This window comes from Homo sapiens, chromosome 6 (genome assembly GCF_000001405.40).
Source record: "Homo sapiens chromosome 6, GRCh38.p14 Primary Assembly".
NCBI lineage: Eukaryota > Metazoa > Chordata > Mammalia > Primates > Hominidae > Homo > Homo sapiens.
In genome coordinates this window covers 61,733,608-61,759,801 of record NC_000006.12, presented here as the reverse complement: position 1 = coordinate 61,759,801, position 26,194 = coordinate 61,733,608, and the positions used below count along the sequence as shown (strand labels likewise).

Sequence of the window (26,194 nt, the reverse complement as noted above, 5' to 3'; positions counted from 1 at the left end):
TTGTTGATTAGCCAAATCCTACTACTATTATGATGCTCATCATTGTATCAGAGGGCCTTCCTGTTTAGCATGACTTGAGGCTGAATCGTGCTAACAAGGGAAATGAAAGAGATCAAACATTTTCCCAAATAGTTTAGTGTTTAGCTAAGGAATAAGTTACCTATTGGAAGCATATGGCTTAGTGAGTTTGACCGCATCTTCAAAGAGAGCTGGTTAACTTTGGGGGTACCCCTGAAACCTAACAGATTAAACAAAATTCCTATATCTAAAAAAAAAACCCTTCAAAAATAATTAAAATCAGTAAGTCTATTTTAATAGTATCTTCATAATGTTTTAAATTATGAGATGTAATAAAGTTTAAATTACTATTAAAACTGCTTTCTTAAATACATTTAGAAATGTATTGTACAAAGGGAATGGGCATTGCATTTTAACTTTCAAGTTTTTAAGAAGCACATAAAGGATCACAAAAAATAGACAAAAATGCAAAACCATAAATACGACTATATGGAAATATAAATACCTTTGGTGTACGTTGTTAGATGAGTCATGGATCAGTATCTCTCATAGTTACCAATATTGCTAACCTGTATATACAAGCAGATGTCTAGTTAAGAATGTTTTATTTTCTCTTTTGAACAAAGAAATAGTGACTATTCATTTATGCTTTTTTCCATTAAATGCTTTAAAAGGCTTGAAGTCCTTTGAAAATCAAACATTTTATATGTAAAATCATTGTTTCCATTAATATTTTAGATGGCTGCTAAGAGAACACTATGCCACATAAATTCTTTGTAATTTTATGGTATCATGGCACATTATAGTATTGTCCATGTGTTTCCACCATTTACCATAAAAATGAGAAATTTTATTTGCAGTGTGGTAAATATGGCACATTATTTGTGAACCAACTGAATGGCTTCAAGCATCTGTGAGAGTATGTTGATTCAATAATGTACATGTCTCCTATACCCTAAATATATATTTACATAACAATTGCTATTACAGCAATCATTTAGTTAGAGCTGGTATTATTATTTTCGTTTTATAGATATGAAAACCAAACCATAGGTTGATTAGGATTTTGCTTAAAATCATACAGCATGAGTATATTTTATGTTGGACTCTATTTTTGGAAAAGTTATGTACTCTTGTGGGCCATATTTGGTACAATTATAAAATGAGGTTGGGGGACAGAGTCTAACTTTTCATGTTTTTAAGTTATGTAAACTACCAAGTACAACACTGAACAAATCCCAACTTGAAGTTTTGTTTATTCAAATTCCACAAACATTTACTAAGTACTTAATGCATATAAAATACTGTATAAGCCATGGGGACAGAAATAAAGATGGAAATTGACAAAGAACCTATTTGTCAAACATTCATGATCTAGTGGAAGATAGGGATACAAAGCTATACTTACAAGCAGAATAAAGGTTAGATGGCACGTGCTTTTGGTCATATGTAGTTAACATGAACTAGACTTACGTTTTGACCTAAAACAACAAAAAACATACAAAATATATGAAACAAGTGTTTCATGATATTGGACATCTGATAGGGAAGAACAGTGATCTCTGAGAGACAGGAAACAAATAAGATAAGCCCTACAATTTCCCCAGTTTGTGCTTTTCAGAAAGTTTCCAGTCTATGACATAGTGAGGAGGAACCCAGGTAAAGCTTGGGAAACTTCCTGAATTGAGAACAGAGAAGTGAGAGTTCAAGGAAACCAAGGCAGCTAAAAATTGTAAGAGTACTAGACAGGAGAGAGATGCACAAGGAGAGAATTCCAGGTATCTGCAGAATATTGATCAGTACCTGTATGGGAATAAATAACTGAGTTCGGGGGAAAATGACTGCCTAAAATATCAGAGGTAATTGTGTCCAGCATTCGCACAGGACTGGGAATAATGTCTCAATTGTCATACTGGAAAACACCTTTCGTTATTAATGGGACATTGTGTAGAGTATATAAAAAGATCTTACTAAGTAGTAAGAAACAATGAGCCCTAAACTGAGAACTGCTTTGGTTCCACCTAATAATTATTAGAGGCAAAACTGAAAAGGAAAAATAGACAATAAAGAAGATAAAATTGAATCACAAAAATATTGAGTTACTCCAAAAGAAGTCAGAAAAAGAGGAAAAACGGAAGAACAAACAAATGGGACAAATTGGGAACAAATAGCGAGATGATAGTTTTAAACCATTGTCAACAATCACACAAAATGTAAATGATTTTAAGTACTCCAGTTAAAACCCATAGATTGTCACTTTGAATAATTTTAAAAGGCCAAACTGTATGCAGCCTACAAAAAACACATTTTAAACTTAAAGATATAATAAGTTAATTATAAAGGATGCAAAAAAGTATACCTACTATTCTAACACCAATCAAAAAGTAAGTTGACGGGGAGTATGTGACAAAACTGGAACCCCTACACATTACTGGGGAGAAGGTAAAATCTTTAAATACTTTAAGCAAAACTAATAGAATTGCAGTGAGAAACTGATAAATCAAAAACTATAGTAAGAGTTTCAAAACCTCTCTTAATAACAGAGAGCAGGTATACAGAAAATCAGCAAAGATATGGAAAACTTGAACAATACTACCAACTCTGCCCTAATTGACAATTATAGAACACTTCACCAAGCAGCAGCAGAATATACATATTTTTTCAAGTTGACTTGGGGCAGATTAAAGGATAAACAAACTCATACCATAAACTGCTACTGAGCAATATAAAATAGACTTGGATAAAAATCAAAATGCGGAGGAAGCTCCAAATAATTACGTTGAGTTAAAGCAGGTAACTGTAAAAAATGTGCATTCTATGTTGTTGCATTTACATAAAATTCTAGAAAAATCAAACTAATCTGTAGTAGCAAAGCAGATCATTTGTTGCCTGAGGAAAGAGGCTAGAGTGCAGAGGGAAGGGAGAGAGGAATTACAAAATAGCAAGAGAAAACATTTGGGGATGCTTAATATGTTCATCATCTTGATTGTGGTGATAGTTTCACTGGTGCATACCTGTGTCTACACACTAGTTTGCACCTATGTCAAATTGTACACTTGAAAAATGTCTGTGAAATTACTGTTAAGTTAAACTATTTTGTTTTCAAGTCTAACCATTTAGCAAAATGCACTGCTGTTTATTTCCTAAAGAGTTCCACAAGTTGAGAATGAATGGTGTCCAAGATTACTCATATGTAAACTCTGAAACACTAAAATTCATAATGAGGCTGGGCATGGTGGCTCATGCCTGTAATCCCAGCACTTTGGGAGGCCAAGGCTGGCGGATCACTTGAGGTCAAGAGTTCGAGACCAGCCTGGTCAACATGGCGAAACCCCCTCTCTACTAAACACACAAAACTTACCCAAGTGTAGTGGCAGGAGCCTGAAACCCAGCTACTCGGGAGGCTGAGGCAGGAGAATCGATTGATTGAACCTGGGAGCTGGTGGTTACAGTGAGCCAAGATCGTGCCACTGTACTCAAGCCTGGGCAACAGAGCGGGATTCCATCTCAAAAAAAAAATAAATTAATTAAATAAAATTAATAATGAACTTTACATATAGTAAGCATCCATAAATATGCATGAATAAAAAATTAGTTTCTAATTCAATTATTATATCTGTGAGTCTATTAGACTTGTCAAACAATATGTCTGGTTTAGAAAATGTGTCACTGCATAAACTTTCCCTGCCAGAAGCCACTGTAATATGCTAGTCAATAATAATGTTGATATATGAGCACAATAATATTATATGTCACTCTTACCAATACCCACTACTTTCCCTAAAAGCAATACATGAACTGGAAGATGTTGCTTAATCACTGAAAAGTGAAAGACCTCAGAACAAGTAGTTTTCAAATCACAGCATTGGTGGACTCTAACTCCACCTACTGGCCCAGTAAGTCTTTATTGGACCCTCACTCCATTCAATTAATTATTATAGTATATTTTTCAAAATAATCCAATGATTTTTTTTTTTTTTTTTTGAGACAGAGTCTTGCCCTGTTGCCCAGGCTGGAGTGCAATGGCCTTATCTCGGCTCACTGCAACCTCCGCCTCCCAGGTTCAAGCTACTTCCTCCCAAGTAGCTAGGATTACAGGCACACACCACCACACCCGGCTAATTTTTTGTATCTTTAGTAGAGATGGGGTTTCACCATGTTGGCCAGGCTGGTCTCGAACTCCTGACCCCATGACCCGCCCATCTCAGCCTCCTAAAGTGCTGGGATTATAGACATGAGCCACTGTGCCTGGCCAATCTCCTGAATTTTATACACATATTCAAGTTGATGACCTCAGGAGCTGCTTAGGTTCTGAACATGGCAGTTCAATTTTCTGATAAGCTTTGTTTTTCTGCAGACTAGTTTTGATGAACTTTTAGCCTCATTAGGAGGTTTCCTTCATAGTCCAGGACTAATAAGGCTCTAAGGCAGTGGTTCCCCAAACTAGTTATTTATCTCTATAACTTGAAGAACTTTAAGAACTTACCAATGCTCAGTAGCTAAAACAGATCAATTCAGTCATAATGTTGGGATGGGGCCCAGATAAAATATCAAGATATTCTATTAAATAATTCTTTTAAAAATACTTTATAGGTAATCCCTAAAGATGCTCTATTTTCACACATTCTTGAACTCAAAAATAATATCCTGCATGGAGGATAACATAAACCGATACATGTCAAACTGTTCAGAGAAGAAACTGCCTGAAAGTAACCTTTGCAAAATCCCTTGAAATATTGATTTATTAGATGTAAAATAGATAAGTATATAATTTTAGCTCAAATAAATATTATGTTTTACTAGATTCTATTATAAATTTGGTATTTACATCAAAATTGCAATGAAAATTGCTGGAGGAAATACCTGATGTTGAAAGTGTTCTATCCACTAACTCTGAAGGCTGCAAATCATTGCTATTATTTTCATTTTAGCAGAGCAACACCTTACACTAACCTTCAAAGTTATAATTTAAGAAAGATATCCCTAAATGTATGCATCTTGGTTATTGATTTCTCTATGCACTCCTATCTTTTTTTCATTTTTTCTGTTGCATCCATCTCTTGATTTACATCCAGTCCACAGGAAGTAAGTAGCCTCCACACACTATACTGAATCTTTTTACAATAATCAATTATAAAGATTTGTATAAAACCATGAGCAAAGTCCTATGTAAGGTGGAGAATCAAGGGAAAGACTGAAACCAAAAAAAAAAAAAAAAGCATAAAACATAGTTCATATCCTTAAAGACAGTCACTTTTATAAACTCATGAAATCCTGTCTCTGTGTGACAGATTTGTTGTCCAGGTTTGTAACCCCTGATTCTCAAACTTGTACCTCAGTTTAGAGACAACAGAACTTTGGGGATGTAATAGTAGGCTCACTTGCTCACTTATTGAGCGTTAAGTCTACAGCACACATACGACTGAAGATTGGTGAGCTCTCAATCCTGTAATGTTCTCTGGCCCCACTCATGAATAATGGGTCAGGTCATTGCTCCATTTTTTTGTGGTCCCTCACTAGACCCCTTGGCTTAATTGTTTTGTTTTAACATAGACAGCTTTTAACGTCTCAGCTTGCCGAGAACTCCAGCTGTATTTTTTAGTCATCCAAATCTGTATTAGTTACCTAATGCTGCTGTAACAAACTACCACACATTTGATGGCTTAAAACCACAAAAATCTATTCTCTCGCAGTTCCGGAGGCCAGAAGTCCAAAATAAAGGTGTCATGAGAACTTGTTCCCTCTGGAGGATCTGGGGGAGAATCCTTCCTTGTTTCTTCCAGCTTCTGGTGGCTGTCAGCATTTCTTGGCTGTGGCTGCATCACACTCCAATTTCTATCTCCATCTTTTTTCCACATGTCTTATCTCCCTCTGCTTCCCTCTTATAAGACACTTCTGATGGTAGTTAAAGCCTACCTGGATAGTACAGGTTAATCTCCTCATCTCAAGATTCTCAATTATACCTGCAAAAACCCTTTTACAAATAAGGTAACATTTAGGGATTCCTGGGATGGGGATGTGGACATAACCATTCATGCCATTATTAGTCTACCACACGACTTTACAACACACATTAATTGTAGATGTGGGTAGCAGAGTTGAAGGGTTATAGGATTGGCTGCCATATCCCCACTTTTCCTCTTATCCTCATGCTTTCTTCCTTTTCCATATAGCCCCAAGGAGGAAAATAAAAATTCGAACACTACACACATATGAGCAAAAGATCCACAAAAGATCCTATTGATTAACTCAGCAGAGCTGACTATGAATTGCAATTCTCTCTCTGCTTAAAGAAAGATGTTTATGATCATTCTACTAAACAGTTACTTTTATCTGTCCAGAATATCACCCTCTTTTATCTGAGAAATGCTCATATGGTTTGGGGGGGTGGGGGTACCACCACCGGTCAAGTCCTGTGACCTAAGCTAATTAGGGTCCTCCTTTGTCAGTTTGAAAACTGAGATCGAGGAAGAAGCTTTCTTCTCTCATTGGTTGGCCACTGAATAATGTGACTGCAAAGCAGCTACAGAGATGGCTGTGTTTTCTGCTGAGTGGAGGTGGCTGAAAGACAAAGAGGGATGATACATGGAGAATGAGGAGAGAGAGAGGAAAATGAGAGGGAGAGAGAAAGAAAGAGCAACACGAATGATGAGTTTATTGTGTTCCTAGTGCTGCCTTCCCTTCCATTATGTGAATTATTATGTCCAATGTAATTCTAGCTGGTTGTGTGATACAAATAGAGTGAGGAATAAAATGCTTATGAATAAAATACCCAATGAAAGGTAACTAAGAGCTTGGGTTCCCATAGAATTCTGCAAGTCTGCTTTTAAAATTATTATTATTCTATTAATCCAGAACATATCCTCTCATTCAAACAGTGTATTCAGCCTCTCAGGAAAGCCTGCTCTGACTACATTAATTACAACTTACATACCGACCCCTCACCTCAAATAATTCGCTTCATTTTTTCTATAGTATTTATTTCCATATAGTATAATATATACTCAGTTTAATCTTTTTGTTTATTCTCTGTCTTCATCTTAAACCACCAACTAGAATATGACCTCAATGAGCATGGATATTTTTGTTCTTTTTTTTTTTTTTTTTTTTTTGTATACCACAATCACTAGAATAGTGCCTGGCACATTTCAGGGACTCAAAACATACATGTCAAGTGAAATAATTAGGTTTTTAGCTTGTTAAAGTCTATAATGAAAATTAAAATACTAGAAGAAGCTAATGGAATGCAAATTTAAGAATAATACGATTGAATAGAATACCTAATTGTATTTCAGCTATAATTATTTTGTATGTTTGAGCTTAGAGAAAAGCAGATTTAGCAACATGATTTAATGGAAAGAGACTAGCATTTAGAGTCAGATAAAGCTAGGTCAATTCCTGTGTCTGCTATTTATGAATCTGTGAGATCTTGAGCATGTTGCTAAACTCTGTGAGCCTTATTCTTCTCACCTTTGAAATAGAAAAAGTCATCCTTATCTTGCAGAACAGTCCAGATGTCATCTAAATGTTGCATAGGACTTACTCATGGAAATCTGACTAGACTTGGCCCAAACCCCATCTCCAGGCCTATGATTCTCAGTGCCTTTCCACCCCTTCCTGTGATTTACGATGCCTCACTTCCTTATGGGTGGAATTGCGTCTTCCTCCCACAAATTCATATGTTGAGGCTTTAATACCTGGTACCTCAGAATGTTACTGTTTTCGAGACAGGGCCTTTAAAGAGATGATTAATATAAAATGGGGTCATTAGGCAGGACCCTAATTGGATATGATTTGTGTCCTTCTAAGAAGAGGAGATTATGACACACACACACACACAGAGAAGTGTGTACACAGAGGAAAGAGCAAGTGATGACACAATGAGAAGGCAGCCATTTGCAAGCTGAGGAGAGAGGTCTCAGAAGAAATCAAACAAGCTGTGTGACACCTTTGACACCTTCATCTTGGACTTGTAACCTCTAGAACTGTGAGAAAATGAATGAATGTTGTTTAAAACACCCAGTTTGTGGTATTTTCTGATGGCAGCTCTAGGAAATTAATACTTTCTCTAGCTTCTTTCTACTAACAGGCCATTCCTTCAATCAGACTGTGCCAATTTGGTTAATCCCTAAAATTAAAATAGCAGCTCCTTCCTACTTTTCCAGACAAAATACAGCACTACACAACATTTAAGTGTTATGTTTTTAAGTGAAAATGTGAAGGACTCAGGATGAATTGCAGCATGGACAGTTCAGACTTGTGTCATGTAGCAGATGGCCTTGTCCCCTTTTCTCGGCACATTCTTCTTATGTTTTACATTGTAAAGTGCACTCCTGCAATAGGGCACATTGTTCTGTGTGTGACCCCTGAGGAAGTTTATCTCATACACAATTCTTACTGTTTCTGCCACGGATGAACCCCTTTGCCAGATTAGCAGATTATCAGTAGCCCCTGGAACTCAGATGATTACAAATGTGAAGATATTATCCCTTATGTAGGAATCAACATTTAGAAGCCATTAGTAATTGCAGCAGTTAGAAAACTGTGTATAAATTTTGAAAAAGTATGATGGAAAATGTAAGGTATAGTCAAGAACATCAGAAATTGAGCCACTGTTCCTTTAGACTGTCACAATTTTACTTTAGAAATCATACAAGGTTATCCTCAGTTATAAAATGGGTATAAGTAGCAGCTTCTTAACAATAAATGGAATAATTTATGCAAGTATTTAGTACAGGTCTTAAAATATATCAATCAAAGTTCTTTTACTATATTATGACATAAAGTAATATAAAATTATATATTTGTATTTTTAGTCGTATATGATAATAATAGCAATCGTGATAATTTTTGTCATCATTTACCTTATTCTTAATAGAGATATATTAACACTTCCTATGCAGGCTACTCAAAATAAAACTAGAAACATAGAAATTCCATGTTGGAAGGAACTGTAACATTTGCCAAATTTGACTACTCCCGTGATGATGTATTGCCTCCTAGATGTTTTTTTTTTTTTTTTTACTTTTTTCTCTGGTCATAAATGAGAAGAAGAAAGGCAGTTACTCCCTGGTAAATAAGCAAAATGTGAAAAAGGGAAACAAAGAAAGTTGAAAACAAGATATAGAGACCTAGAATCAGAAGACGGTTTTGTCTAAAGACACTTGGTTGGTTACTTTCCCAAGAAATGTGGTAGAAGTAGTGAGCCAAGCACCATTGGTGGGTTAGCAGATTGAACAGGCGAAACTGACGGTGCTGGTACATAAGAATCCAGACATAATGCAGTAAATATAAGAACAGCAGAATTTCAGAAAGACAAAACCCACTACAAGCTGCATAGCTAAAAGTCTTAATCAAGATTGAACAGAAATCCAGTTAGAAACAGCCTGAACCCCATAGGCTGGCCTGGCTTATTCCTCTTGTTTCCCACTTTACCAGTCTTTGTATAAGCACGATCACAATTATTCTGCTCATTTCATGTCAATTTCCATTTTTCACTGGAGTTAAAGGAAGCTTGTATTCATGAGCCTTCCTCAGATTTAAGTATATCAGAGACTTTTAAAAGAATGACCTTTTGTCTCTTTTGATGCTTTTGTCAATCTCTGTTTTCTTCTTTCTATATTTAAGATATTCCTCATGTTAAGAATGTTATCTTGTTGGTGCTGTGGCTTTTAAAAATTAGATAACATGTAAGATATATCTGATATCTTCTACTCTTTTTCACACAGTGATCCTTTATATTCTTAAAAATAACTCCTCATTATTATTTTTATGAGTGCTGAAACCCTCCTTAGGCATAAAATTTAGAGGTCATTCTACTAGTTTATAAGAAAACAATAACAAATATAGACTGACAACACAAGATTCTTCTTTAAAATAACAGTCTTTTAATCATCAAAGACTTGGAAATATGGATCTGATTTTTTCCCTTTTGTTAATTCTTTAAAATGTTTATAAGGATATGTGCAGAGTCAAGAAGTATTTTTCATGTCCCCAGGCTGATTGCTCTTAGATATTGTTCGGTGTCTGCATATTGAAACGTTCCCCAGAACTCTCAGAGATTATGATGTCATTAATGTTTTCTCCGTTTTATTTTTCAGTGTTACCAAAGAAGTGAATCATATAGAAAATGTCATCCAAGCTACTAGTTCATCTCATTTATTGAAAAACTGAATCATTTAAAATCACAAAAGAGAAAATCAAGGATAATTTAAACAACAGGACAGGAAAAGATGAATGAGAAATGAAGAGCAGATTCAAAAAGTATAATTTTGCTCTCAAACTGACATCATTTATAAATCTAAGTGCTTTGGCTTTTTATGCTTCTACAGTAAAGTTTGAACTAAAGAAGAAAACATATTTTAAAAATTTCTGATCAGCTATTTTCATAGACAGCTATTTACTAGTTATTCTATGTCCAATATGGTTACCAGTAGCCACATGTAGCCACTTGTACCTACTTAAATTGAAAGGCGGGGCACGGTGGCTCACGCCTGTAATCCCAGCACTTTAGGAGGCCGAGGCATGTGGATCACAAGGTCAGGAGATCGAGATCATCCTGGCTAACACGGCGGAACCCCATCTCTACTAAAAATACAAAAAAATTAGCCGGGCATGGTGGCGGGCGCCTGTAGTCCCAGCTACTCGGGAGGCTGAAGCAGGACAATGGTGTGAACCTGGGAGGCGGAGTTTGCAGTGAGCCGAGATTGTGCCACTGCACTCCAGCCTGGGCGACAGAGTGAGACTCCGTCTCAAAAAAAAAAAAAAAAAAAAAGAAAGAAAGAAAGAAAAGAAAAAGAAATATTGAAAATTAAATAAATTAAAATTAAATAAAATTTAAAATTCAGTTCCTTGGTCACACTAGCTACATTTAAGTGCCCATTAACCACACTGACTAGTGAATATCATATTGGATAGCACAGGGCATAGAGAATTTCCATTAGCACAGGAAGAGCTATTGGACAGCACTATACTAGCATATATGAAGTCTCCAAATGTGATACATAACAGGAGTTTTAACATTATAAACAAACACAATGCGAAATTTGGAAAGAAATGAATCACTACCCAGAAAATAAATAGTTAATAGAATAATACAGCAATTTGAATTGTCCTTTGATGAAAATTTTGGTCTCTGTATGGCAAACTGATATGTTTAGCCCATATAAGTTACATTTGATAGTTACAATAGAATATATAAAAATGTTTATTAATACAGCAGAATGTTGTATACCAACATATTTGAAAACTTTTCAGATGCAATTATTCAAAGACATCTTATGTGAAACTTAATATAGACCTGGTGAGTTTGCAATATTGATAGAGGGCCTCTTCCTGCTCACATGGTGGGCTTCCAGGACTGCTGGTATCCAGGGTAGCCCTAAGTCATCAGCCCTAAGCAAAATCTGAGGTATCAAAAATAAATAAATACATGAATAAGTAAATAAATACCCTTACCAGAGTAGGAGAGAGTAATTTAAAAACTTGAATATTAAGTCTGGGTGTGGTGGCTCACGCCTGTAATCCTAGCACTCCGTGAGGCCAAGGCAGGCGGATCATGAGGTCAGGAGTTTGAGGCCAGCCTTTCCAACATAGTGAAACCCCGTCTCTACTAAAAATACAAATCATTAGCTGGGCATGGTGGCAGGTGCCTGTAATCGCAGCTACTTGGGAGACTGAGCAGGAGAATCGCTTGAACCCAAGAGGCAGAGGTTGCAGTGAGCTGAGATCATGCCACTGCACTGCAGCTCAGGCAACAGTGTGAGACTCTGTCTCAAAAAAGAATATTAAGGATCAGAACTAAACCTAAGTTAGCAGTGAGGCCCCTCCCTATTCAAATAATATCAAAATACTTTTTTATTAATAACAACCTGAACATTTACATTTTATCTGTTAACCAGCACTGCTAAATAGAAAACAACATTCTGGGAAAATAAAATTGGTAATTCTGTCATGACTAAGAACAGGATTAAATTTTAGAAGGTAACTCATGCTTTTTACTCTTATGTACCAGAGGTTAAAGATGACTACAAGGGCATTGTTAATATATTTCCAATGATAAGAATACCAAAACAATTAAAAATGCCTTCCTTTCAGGATAACAAAGGAATTTTTGTAACATTCGGTACCATATGATAGAAAAATAGCCACCATGGAAATGAAGATTACTTAACTGGCTTATAGAAAATTAATTACTTCATTTTGATATGCATTTGTCATGCATAATTTACTAGAAAGTGATAGTTGTGTGAAATAATGTGTAAAAATTGCTTTACATTTATCAATGTAAGTGATTGGTTCTTAAATTCTTTCTAATTGAAAAAATATTACTAAAGATCAGAACTGAAGTATTTTGGGGGCAAAAACTTAAAAATATTAAATAGGTGCATCATGTCATCGTGCTCTTGTTTAAAAGCTACAAAATTCCTTTTGAACAACCAACATAACACCAAGAAGTTTGGCAGGAATCATTATGGGATGTTGATTTCTTATGCTGTTTTTGTTTTGGTTTTCCTGATTCATTCTCTGTCTAACACCAGTTGAATTAGATAATTTGAATCAGATCAGCTATGATGATGCCAACAACATTTTAAGCTTTGGTTTCTCATGTCCTAAAATAGCAATATAAAACACAAAGAAATGATGAGCTTTTTTTTTCATATGTTTGTTGGCCACATAAATGTCTTCTTCTTAAAAATGTCTGTTCTTATCCTTCGTCCACTTTTAGATGTTTTTTTTTTTCTTTTTTTTTCTTTTACATTTGTTTAAGTTCCTTGTAGATTCTGGATATTAAACCTTTGTCAGATGGGTAGATTGCAAAAATTTTCTCCCATTCTGTAGGTTGCCTGTTCACTCTGATGGTAGTTTCTTTTGCTGTGCAGAAGCTCTTTAGTTTAATTGGATCCCGTTTGTCTGTTTTGGATTTTGTTGCCATTGCTTTTGGTGTTTTAGTCATGAAGTCTTTACCCATGCCTATGTCCTGAATGGCATGGCCTAGGTTTTCTTCTAGGGTTTTTATGGTTTGGGGTTTTACATTTAAGTATTTAATCCATCTTGAGTAATATCATTTGAGAAATACCATTGAGAAATACCATTTGACCCAGCAATCCCGTTACTGGGTATATACCCAAAGGAATATAAATTCTTCTATAGAGACACATACCCATGTATGTTTATTGAAGCACTATTTACAATAGCAAAATCATGGAACAACTCAAATGCCCATCAATGAAAGACTGGATAAAGAAAATATGACACGTATACACCATAGAATACTATGCAGCCATAAAAAAGAATGAGTTCATGTCTTTGCAGGGACATGGATGAAGCTGGAAACCATCATCTTCAGCAAACTAACATAGGAACAGAAAACCAAACACAGCATGTTCTCACTCATAAGTGGGAGTTGAACAGTGAGACCACATGGACACAGGGAGGGAAACATCACACACAGTGGCCTGTCGGGGATGGGGGGCAAGGGGAGGGAGAGCATTAGGACAAATACTTAATGCATGCGAGGCTTAAACCTTAGATGACGTCTTCTAAACTTCTCTTCTGAAACTTGATCCTGTTCTTAGTCATGACAGCATTAACAATTTTATCTGTCTCTTTCTGGTTGATTGGAACAGGAAACCACCATGGCACATGTACACCAATGTAACAAACCTTCACATTCTGCACATGTATCCCGGAACTTAAAGTGAAATAAAACTAAACTAAACTAAACTAAACTAAACTAAAATAAAATAAAATCTTTTTGGGAAAAAAACGTTAAGTACTAAGTCTCAGTGACTAGTGGGACAACAGAAATGGGGCAAGTTCTAAAGAAATGTAAGACACGCACTCTTTATTCTTAAGGACAATATAGTTAAGGAGAACACAATTATCAAGTATTTTTAACCCCACTTAAAGGTGTGAGCAAATAAAATAAAATAAAATATTTTATTTTATTTTACACACAGCAGCAACGTCAAGGCACTATATAAATAATTGGCCGTGAAAAAGACCCTTTTAGAAACAACAACTCTCCTCTTGTGTGGCCAGTCCGCTGGATTTCTATGATTAGAAATATAGTAAGATATGTCTATGCCCTTTTATTCATCTTTAACCTTTTGGTACTTAGAAGTGAAAAACACAAGTTGGCTTCTAAAACTTGATCTTGTTCTTAGTCATGACAGCATTAACAATTTTATCTGTCTCTTTCTGGTGAGTGTATTAGAAGGCGTTAGAGACTTATGCCACTGACTTTACAGCATTTGCTTTGGGTTCTATCCTGAAGCAGCAAGGATGCCTACAATATGAAGTACATAAAGCATTAACACATTTAAAATAGATCCATTAGCAAACTAGCACTTCATTACTCTAAACTCCAGTTTCATTAGTCATAGTTCTGTTCATTAACTGGGTTGAACAGATTGCTACCTGATTTCTAAGGTGTTAAAAAGCATTTTAAAAAATGGGAGTCGAAGGAAACCTACTGACAACCGAATATTTTCAAAAAATACAAAGTTAACATCCTTTCTTATCATACTAGAGAAAAATTACTAAAATGTTTCAGGATATCTCCTTTTAATTATAGCCTAGAAGCAATCTCTAAATAGCCAAATTTTCTTTTGTCCCCACCAAGCGCCAAGTTGTATTATTTTTTAATCCAGAGTTTAAAATGTACTTTTGTTTACTATATTGCTTCCTTTTTAAACAGGAAATGCAGCTGTTCATGATTAAGAGTCACCTACTTGGAAACCTAAATCACATTAAATAGTGTTCATCACCAAAAATAGTTAGATGAGCTTTGAAACTTGTAAAACTATTGAAATTAATGTTCAGTCATTCTTCCCAAAAAAAGGAAAACAGATTTGAAAGTTTCGGTAGTAAATGTTAATATTCTGTAGGAACTGGGTAGTCTTACTAAAATAGCCATGTTTGTTAGGAGATAGTATCTCACAATGTTTGACAATTGACAAGGTTTGTTTCTCCTAATAAGAAAAGATTACTGGCTTGTACTCCCCTTGGGTAAAATGTTATATAGAACTCTAGAAGACAAAGGAATCCAGAAAAAAAAGGATAAAGGATAAAAAGGATAAAGCTGAAGAGACAAAAGTAAAGGCACATATTGTCATTTGCTGGAGATATCAAATAAACAAGGAAACAGTATAACCATCTGCCCTTCCCTCCTCAATACAGCAAATCACTTTTGAAGGACTCCCAGTTTTCATGTGTTTTGCTCATCTCTTGGTAGGAGACACAATTTGCTATGGATCCTGAGCATCCTTGTGCTTTCTGGCTGGTTATGCCAAGAATACAAGGCCCTAATTACTCTTTACTTGGATGATTTATCAGGACTGCACTTGCAGCTAGTAACATAAAGAATGGATAGCATCTATCCCCAAAGTAAGAGCAGGTTTGCTTCCACTTACTTTACATTCCATGAGCTCACTGTTCCTACCCTGCAATATAACCCACTTAGTGTACAGGCATCTAACCTGGACACACTTTCATTGCCCTGTGGGATGTAGGGCAAGCCAATATGAAGGCCTGGCTTTTAATTTATGGTGTGTAATAGAGTCCTTGTTTTTGACCCAAGAGTTATGTCTTCTGCCAGCATCCATGACACAATAATAGACTAGCTTATTAACTTAAAGTATATTAAAATCTCAGATATGCATAGTTCTTTACATTTTATATTCTCATAAAACTGCTTATAGCGGCACTATTCACAATAGCAGAGACTTGGATCCAACCTAAATGTCCAACAACAATAGACTGGATGAAGAAAATGTGGCACATATACACCATGGAATACTATGCAGCCATAAAAAATGGTGAGTTCATGTCCTTTGTAGGGACATGGATGAAACTGGAAACCATCATTCTCAGCAAACTATCGCAAGGACAAAAAACCAAACACCGCATGTTCTCACTCATAGGTGGGAATTGAACAATGAGAACACATGGACACAGGAAGGGGAACATCACACACCGGGGACTGTTGTGGGGTGGGGGGAGGGGGGGGATAGCATTAAGAGATATACTTAATGCTAAATGACGAGTTAATGGGTGCAGCACACCAACATGGCAAATGTATGCATATGTAACAAACCTGCACGTTGTGCACATGTACCCTAAAACTTAAAGTATAATAATAATAAAATTAAAAAAATAAAATAAGGATAAAACACTGATTTTTACAAATATAATACAAAATTATTAACCCCAATTTTTTTCATTTTTCTTCAGTACATGTTTTAACAGGTAAAATCCCAAATTGTGTTTGTGTTACTATTGTAAACTTAACGAAATTATTTAAAAAGTCATGAGAATTGTATTTTGCCATTAATGATATTAGGCCTTTAGTAAAGCAACTAGAGAGTAAATACTAGACAGTGCCAGATAACTGAGTTTACATTGTAGCCAAGACACTTCCTCGTGGGCTGTGATCTCCTGAAATTATTTCTCATTTTCCTAATCTGTTAAGTAGGTGTAAAGATACAGAACATGCCATATAGGCTTGATTTTGGTTTTTAACAAAGTAACTGTGTATGTAAGTGTGTCACATACTGGCTTTTACTGGTCTCCCAATGCATGCTTGTTATATATGTTTATGAATGGTGTTCACTTGAATTGTATATTATTAATTTTATTTTTAAATATATACAACTTCCACGTATGTCTCTTGAGGTTTGTTATTTGATTTTACTGGGCTGATTGAAAAGTTAGCATTAGCCTCCCCAGAGATTAATTTGTTAATGTAGAATACTGTCTTGCATATGCATGGCTGGCAGAGAATGTCTTATAGTTCCTTGGGAGCTTTTAATTTCCAGAGAATCTAGATTTCAGAAATATGCAATTTCCAGCCTTTATATTGAGTGTACATATATAAGGGAAAATTGTTTAGCAGCTACAATCTACATAGGAAAGGAAGGTACAGAATAGCTTCCTTTTATTAGAGACTGATTTACTGATTTCTATAGAAAACTCCAAAGATTTAAGTATATTGCCTAATTGCAGAGCTAAACTGTTAGGTTTAATGACCTCACTGAGGATGTGTACCTTTATGATCTCATATGGTTTTGAATACATAATGACTTCCCATGTTGCATCAGTAACAAAAGCTGCATACTGGGGAGTAACCATTGCCATATCATCCCAAGCCAGCAATCTAGTCATGCTTTCAGTGGGAAAAAAGAGATGGAAGAGACTATTAAAATATTTCTTATTTTATCAGAAGTTCATCTATTCAATATCAGAGAGAGAATGTAACAATACCACAGATAGAATGTAACATTTTAAAGAAAAAATACATGGAAAATTATAAGTAACCCATAGTCAAGAGAATACACAAGCATTAATAATTTATATCCTAAAGAAATAGTAACTATCAAAATATTGGCATTGTACAGTTAGTTTTTGTTGTAGTAATATTTTATGTTTTAAATTTTTGATTATTACCATGAAGTGCTTTTGTAGTAACAAGAGATCATATATGAAGTAGACATTCTATGCATCTTATGGTTTAAATAAGCTAAGACAGGGACACGTTTTTAAGAATTAACCACACTTCATAAAGTAAGTTAAATGTTAAGTTCCTATCTGACCTGTTAATTATATTCAATAATATTAAAGGGCAGCATTTGCAAATCACTTTTGTGCCTAGCATTTTAGTTTTTGGTGACAATTTATTATCTTGACCCTCATAATTAAATTACTTAATTATAGAATATTTAATGGTTCTTGATTATTATTGCTCTTTTCACTTTATTTTTCTCTCAACTGCATAAGAATATTCCACATTATTTCCCTTAATTTATGTATTTTATTGTAATGCCTGCTGACCTTTTATAGAAAATAAAATCCAAATGAAAATAATGAACAGATGCTAAATCTGTCACAAAGACTTGTTAATTTTTAAAGTCTTCACAGAAAATGTGGGTATATAACAGAGTCAGAATGACATTTCATATCATTTAAATTTCTAAATGATTTTCTTCTAGAAGCCGCAATGACTTACTGGTATCACAAGACACTTCTGTTCTCTTTAGTTGACAAAAACATGTCAATTTCACAGTTTCTAATATTAGTGTTAGGTTGAACTTAGGAAATTGCCAACATCTGACAATTTTTGACTTACAAAAATGGCAATTTCCTGTGGTCCTACTTGACTTTTTAAATAGGTAAAGAAAAACTACCTATTGAGTCCTATACTCACTACCTGGGTGATAGGGCTATTTATACCCCAAACCGCAGCAAAATACAGTATACTCATGTAACAAAAGTCAACATGTACCCCCTTAATCTAGAATAAAAGTTGAAATTATTTTTTAAAATTATCTGAACTGTCAGTGATGTAATAAAATAGTTTCAAAACATATTTATTTCCCAAAATATGTGGTGAGATGTTTCTAAACTATTTTTATGTGATGATTCCCTTTTCTGAGTTGCAAGCAACCTTCAAATATCTTAGGCTCCATAAACTAGTACTGATTAGAAAAGCTCTATCTAGAGGTAATTTAACATATTCTGTTTACCATTCCATTTTTTTTTCTTTTTAGAACTTTTTGATTCTGTGTCTATGGGGTAGTAATGCATGTAAGAGTAGAGCCAGAAATTTTCACAGGTCTCTGTTAAACAAAAACAAAAAAACAAAAAACATTGGCATGGGGATTTAATAAGGCCTTTCAAGAAATAATATCTTTTGGGTAAATTCAAGGCTGATTTTTTTAAATGGGGTCTTCCTGTACAAAATATATTTATTACAGCTGACCTTGTGCCCTCATTTCCTAGAGCGGAAGTAGTGCTTGGAACATTGTGTTCACGTAGAGCTTTCTGTAAATTAAGTTTGTCTTCTCAGTGGACAATGGTGGTTATTATGGTTGCCATGCATATGTTGATGACTACTAGAGCCATATCTCTAGCTCAAACTGTCTAAGCTTCAAACTCATATATCCAGGTGCCTGAAACCAACTCTTAATCGTATCACGGTTACCTGTTGCTATCCTAATGACCTGACAAGAAAACACTTAATGCTTTTTGGAAGAAAATACCATCAGCCAACGCTTTCACAAATTTCCTTACACTATATCAACAGTTCAGTGAAAACCCATAAGACATGTTAAAAACAATAACAATAAAAACTAAGAGGAAAAAAATAGTCATGGGTAATTCAGATGTTAGAGTTATCATTCAGGGACTTTACAGTAACTATGATAACATGTTCAAGAAAATAGTGGGAAAATGGAGCCTACTCTACAAAGCCCTGGTAATTTTTATTTTTGAGTCAAAATATATAAAATGTTGATCTAAATTTGTCATTCTACCACCTGGAACCCTTCAATGGCTTCTTTGTCGACTAGATATAGATAAACCCTTTACCATGTTATAGAAAACAATTCAGACCTGACCCTTTCTGCTCCTTGGTCCAACTCCCTACTGTTTCTTAGACATTTTGTGCTTTAGTTAGATCTAGCTACTAGCAGCTCACAAAACACAATTTAGTTTCATAATGCCATGCATTCACACTTGGTGCACCTGGAAATGGAATGCTCTCATTTTACCTGCTTATCAATCTGAAAAACATTTATTTATCTTGAAATACCAATCTCAAACAACAACTTTTCGGGGAAATTCTCCTTGAAATCCTCAGACCTATTTAGCCATTCCTCCAGTGTGCTTCCATAGCACCTGTTACATACTCTTGGAGTGCTTTCTTTGGTATCTCAATTGCATATACATTTGTTGATATCTTCTAGTAACCAAGAGCAGAGGTGACTCATACTGGCTCACAAGATTTGTAAAATTTTTAGGAATTTTGTAAATTGATTGTTAAACACAGTCATTATTAAAAATTGAATTACACAACTTTAAATGAAATAGATTATATTGAAGATAAACATTTACAGACTCATCAGTATGTATTATGTTAGAATCTGTGCTCTTTTGGTTATTTATGTCTAGTGTATCTGTTTGGTGGGAATAACATATAATGGTGTGCTAATGTTCACCTCTTCCCAAGTCTGTTTTCAGTGCTAATGTGGTGATAGCTTAAAATCAGCTGTAATAAGAGTTTTTACACTACAGATATTGACAAATGCTAAAAGCCAGGACTTGACGTTTTGTTTTATTCCTTATCTAAATGTAAGAAAGCTATGGAGAAAATGTTAATTATGCAGATTTTATTTAAAAGTTAGTTATACCTATAGCCTTAACATTGTAAATGGAACACAAAATTGAGGAAATATTCTTCCAGCATATCAAAACCATTGTCTAATTCAGAGCATTTTATTTATTTAAAAGTGTATTATTCCTATAACCTTTACATTGTAAATGGAACACGAAATTGAGGAAATATTCTTCCAGTATGTCAAAACCATTGTCTAATTCAGAGCAAAGTTGCTCCTATCATTAAGAAACAAGTAAGATTCTGACATACATATTTGAGATTTCACTTTCATTTTACTGGTCAACATAAATAAAAATGTCAAATAACAGTCATGTCAGAACCATACATGTTTATCAATAACATTGACATCATTGCTGAATCAGATAATAAGCAAGCATTTATCTGTGCTGTGATTTATTGGGATTCTATTGTGGCAATGCAATTATAAAAAGTTATAGTGGATTTTGCAAAAAATTTTGCAAGTCACACTGAAGTTATATGTTTATAGAATGTATAATAAATTCTATATTTTAGTTATAAATCATATGCTTTATGTCAGTAAAAGGTTTAATGAATTTGTATGTATATGTGCATAGACACACGTGCATACAATTTTTTGGAGAGGCAATTATTAAGCATTTACCAGAACTACACTGGATAAAAACTTCTTAAAGATAGGACTTATGTCTGAATCTTCTCTTATGTTTAATGCCTGGATAATAGGTAATTCAGTGGTTAATATAACATCTGATGAATTACTATTATTTTAAGCTCATATGCAGAGCCAGTATTAGATTTGACAACCTAAAATTGGAATAGAAATCATAGTTCAATAATAAGCGTTTAAGTCAATGACCTCATTAATTTGAGAAATTAGTAGGAATATTAAAGACAAAAAATGCATTTTCCAGGGTAGATTTGAAAAGGGCTCATTTTGTAAACATATGTGTTTATGGTAACACACACGTATTTGTCCTGTATGTTGCTTTGCCCAATACCCAAATGCGTGAAGTGGTCTATAATTCATAGCAAGCTACAAAGAAATTGCCTTATTTCATTATAGCTCAGGCCTTCATTTTAGACCCACACTTCACATTGTGCCTTAAGTATATTGTAGAGGACTTAGCAAAGACTCAGAAAGAAGCCAAGATTGTGTTTCACAAGGATCCTATAAGGACTTGTCTCATTTGACTCAAAGAATAGAAAACTAAAGAATTTATAACTTCACAGATAGAAAGAAATCTTAGAAGAGATATTTTTCATGACCATGTTCCAGGGAGGAATGAATCATATCTCCTTGAGTATTTTCTTTTTTGTGGGAGATATCAAATCATCTGTCTACAGCTAGAAGAAAGTAAAGTTAAAATTGTTAATTTATTTAGAAGGTTTTCTTTTACTGGACACATCGGATGTGCTCTTTGTACTTGAGGAAATTCTGCGTTGGGACTGATAACTTAAGTAATAAAGTAGTATTTTTTAGTAGAAATATACTAATAAGCCAGGACATGATAAGAAAGTAATGTCTTCAAATAGCAAAAACAATGAAGCAAAAACGGAAAAAGTATCATTTCAGAATTTTTGATCTTTTATGTTTTGATTTCTTAATTCAATATTCATATTCACCTTAAATCTCAGGCAGATACTGACTGGCTTTTTAGGGAGCATGTCTATTTTAGTGATTTATCTTAGACCATCATCAGCACAATGCATATTTTTACTTAAAAAAACCACGTAAATATGGTTTCCTGGAACTATGGTTTTCTTTTTCTACAACTTTATTGGTCTTAATAAAAACTGTATTATGTAAAACATTCCATGTTCTACCTTTACTCTTCCCTACGTCTTATGAGTTTCCACATCTGGGAATCTTATTAGGATTCAGGATTTGAATGCAGACAGAATAAAGCCGGAGTCCATGCCTTTTATGGCTCTGCGGTTGTCTCTCCCTACCCTAGCTGCTAGAACACTCTTGCTTTTTTCTCACTTCTTCAGAAATCCACCTACTACTTCCTTAGTGCTGGCATTAGGAAAACGATCTGATTTATGCAATAAGGATATACCAATGATTAACTTACGGTCTGTTTTTAACATGTAGGATGCAGTGTTGACATCTTAAACGTTGTTATGCTTTTCATTTTGTGACGGTTGTCTAATGATAGTTTACTGTTTTGCAGTACTATACGTTTACATACATACATATATATTTACAAATATTTATGTGTATACATATTTCTTAATAAAAAGATGGTTTTAAAAATATATCAAGTATTGGAAAAATATGCCCATTTACTGTCCCTTTTACAGTAAGTACAGCTATGTGGGGAACATTGCACTATATGCTTTATGAAAGTTTAGGTTAGCAGGACAGATTTCCATCTACTCTGGGGATTTTCTGTGTAACATTTAAAGAAGTAAAAGAGTAAGTGAGGGAGTAAAATGAAATAATCTTCCTGGGCCAAATAGTAAAGATATTCTTCATAAATAGAGATAATAGCTCTATATATTTATCATTTGAAACATTTATCTTTTAGCTGTGATTAATTTGTGTTAATCCATATCTAGACAGTGGATAAGAGTAGTCTCCTTTGGCTAATTAAACAATTCAATATATATTTGTTAAATGACTATTCTATGGGATAAACTATGCTAAGTACTACAATACATCAAAAAGGTGATAAACTATGATATAGTCCTTGCTTTTCAGAAACTTAAATTCTAAAAAGAGAGAAAATTATAGAAAAAGAAATATAGTATATGTTTAGGTATTTTAAGAACAATGAGAGAAAACATGCTATTGGAATTCGGGGAACTAAGGGTTAATATATGGTTGTTAGAAGCAGGAAAAGATTTCTAAAGATGATATTATGTAAAATGACCTTGAGGAATCAGTAGCATTTCAACAGATGGAAATGGGGGAAACATAGGGATTTCAGGAGCCCTGGAGCCCTGAAGACAAGTACCTACTCCCATCCCTGGTTCTTGTACCTCCCTGCTCAGAAACAGAAACACAAAAATAAAGTGAAACAAAACAAACAAATTAAAACTGCCTTGCCTCCTGTTGGAAGCTAGAGACCTTGAGTCTTGCATAAGAAATAAAGGTGAGTAAAGCCATATTTTTATAATCTTGGTGAAGGACCAAAAGCCCGATTCCTAAAAAGAAGTTTGCACCCCTTGGAGCACCTGTGGATGTCCTCATAACTGACCAGGCAGATCCTCAAGATAGAGTGCTGGACTGCCCTGAATCTTGCAGCTCCAGAAAGCTCCAATTATGGTATTAACCCTTGTCCCACCACAAAGGAGATGAGACCTTGGGCTAAGAATGGGATGCTTAAACTATACCTGAGAACACAAAACATCCACTCCACATCCTAACAGTTGTTAGTGTGTGTGTGTGTGTGTGTGTGTGTGTGTGTGTGAAGTAAAGTAAAAAGAATAAGAGATATCATATAGGACAAAAAAGTAAATTTACTGTGCCAACCGAGAAGACTCAATCTCACTAGTAAGGGTTATAAAAAAAAAAAGAAAGAAAGAAAGAAAAAAAATGGAGAGACATTTTCCACAACTGAAGAATATAAGCCTCTAGATTGAAAGAGCTCATTGAGCACCCAACACAATGAATGAAAAGAAACACACACACAAAGGCATTGCATTCTGTAATTTCAGAACAGCAGAGATAAAAATTGTAAAAGCATCCAGAAGAAATAAAAAAGAGACAAAACAAATCTAGGTCACATGTAAGTAATAGGAATTCTCAACTTTAACATGGAATAGTAAAAATATTGTACCAAAGCTCTCAAAATTCTGATTAAAAGTCATTTTTTTTCAGCCTAGACTTCTCTACCCAACCAATTAAGTATGAGACAATTGAAAAATTTCCAGTAACATAAATGTACAATACAATATCACATATGTAACATTCTTTCAAAAATATTAAATCTGAATGTAATTATGAGAATAATCAGGCAAATGCAGAATGTGGAATGGTGTACAAAACAGTTGGTTTGGACCACTCAAAAAAGTTAATATTTTGGGAAGCAATAAAAGGTTGGGGAACTATGCTAGCTCTAAAAACACTAAACAGATATAATCATCAAATGCAATTCAAAATTCTTTATTGGGTTCTGATTTTTGAAAAATAGCTATGCAAGATTAAAATAGCTACAAAATTCATAAATGCTTGGGACAATTGTAGAAATTTAACTGGGGACTTCACAGTAATGTGAATTTATTGTGATTTTTAAGGAGTAATAATAATACATTTATGTAGAAGAATGTCCCTACACTCAGGAGATAGAAGCTGAAGTATTTAGGGATAAAATATCATGTTTCTGGAACTAATTTGCAAATGGTTTCTTAAAAAATATATATATAAGATAACACAAATGAGACAAAATGTCAATAATTGTTGAATCTAGGTGAAGGGTAGATGAGTTTCCATTAACATCTTGTTCCAACTTTTGTATAATTTAAATTTATCACCAAAAAAATGAAAACAAAAGCTACAGTGAGTAGGGGGGCAGTGTAAAGCTAAACAAGAAAGAATCAAAATATTTTTCTCCAAAATACCTCTTAATAGAGGTTATTGAAAGAGATGTTTCAGCAAGAAATTAAAGCAAGGAAAAGATGGAATCTGGCCAAAGGAAATTCACTACCAACAATGGTGAAAGAGGCCTTAGGAAAACACCTTGGCCTTCAGGCCTAGAAATTCATCAATGTGGACCAGAGCACAATGACACAGTTCTTCAGGTGATAGTCTCCATGTTACACATAAAAACATTATGGATGAGCTGATGTCTTTGAATCTTAGAAATATTACTGCTAGTTTAATATGACCATTGGGACAATTGATGAAGACATTTCTAAATATTTGGAAAACCAAGAAAATAATAAGATGAATGAACAATTATTAACGTTGGAAGAAAGGAAAAGGTGTATGAGAATAAAAACAGAATTATATTAAATAATTTATGTCATAAGAGGATACAATTATGTATTCTCACTCAATAATATTAATATTGACTAATGAAAAATTATGATGAAACTATATTGGGAAGATAAGTAAGGGAAATAATAGAACTAAATTTAACAACCTGAATGGACAGCCAATAGAAAATGACAAAATTTATAAATCCAACAACAATAACTTAGCTATATTACTTAATAACACAAAAATGAATACTAAAATAATAGATGAAAATACTGAAAGAGAGCTGAAGGTTAAAGGAGAACAAGACAAGGAACTACTATTTTGGGGACATAAGCTTGTTTGTATTATTTCTAAATAATCTGCATGTAATTGTTTTATAAATACTAAAATTAACTTTAGAACATTGAACAAAATTTAACTCAATAGCAACTAATTAGGGTATTCAAGGAACAAATAGAGAAACTATTTCATACTGCAGAGCAAAAATATAATGAAAAATGACAAGAGATGGAAGTTAGATTCAGAAAGCTTCGTATGTAAATAATAGCATTATATGATGGTAAGACCACGTGAAAATGAAGAAATAAGGAAATAAAATTTTTAGAAGTTTCTTAAGTTGATAAATATATTAGTCTTTTCATTAAATGGGCTTAAAAGTGTTAGTCAAGACTAATGTCAAAGATTTCACATGTAGGTATTTTCTGCTGAAACTCCTGAACAAGATAAAGAGAGATTTGTAAGCCTCCAGACTGAAAAGAATTTATGAAGTGCTAGGGTAGGGTGGAAGTGTATTCCAGGGAAAGAGATGCGCCAGCACCAGGCACAGAAAACCTGAAGGTTTTTCCAGAAGTAGGGAATAATCGAGACGGATGGCTAGTGTTTAAAATTAATGACCACAAAGAGAAACAAAACTAAATCATTCAGAGTGATTGATAACTGGAGTGTATAATTACTAGCTTGTTTGAACATGCTGCTATGACAAATCTGCATTAGCTTTGTTAGTGTAATTTACTCGAGTAATAAGTCTCATCACACATAATTATTTTACTTATGAGATTTAAAAATCATATAATGTACACAAAGTCTTTTTTTTT

General features: G+C 34.2%; 1 protein-coding gene across 7 annotated transcripts in view; it reads left to right on the top strand.

Annotated features, from left to right (window-relative positions):
- KHDRBS2 (KH RNA binding domain containing, signal transduction associated 2) overlaps positions 1–26,194 on the top strand; it is a 743,556-nt gene that overhangs the window by 526,424 nt on the left and 190,938 nt on the right. The gene's annotated exons all lie outside the window — the stretch shown is intronic.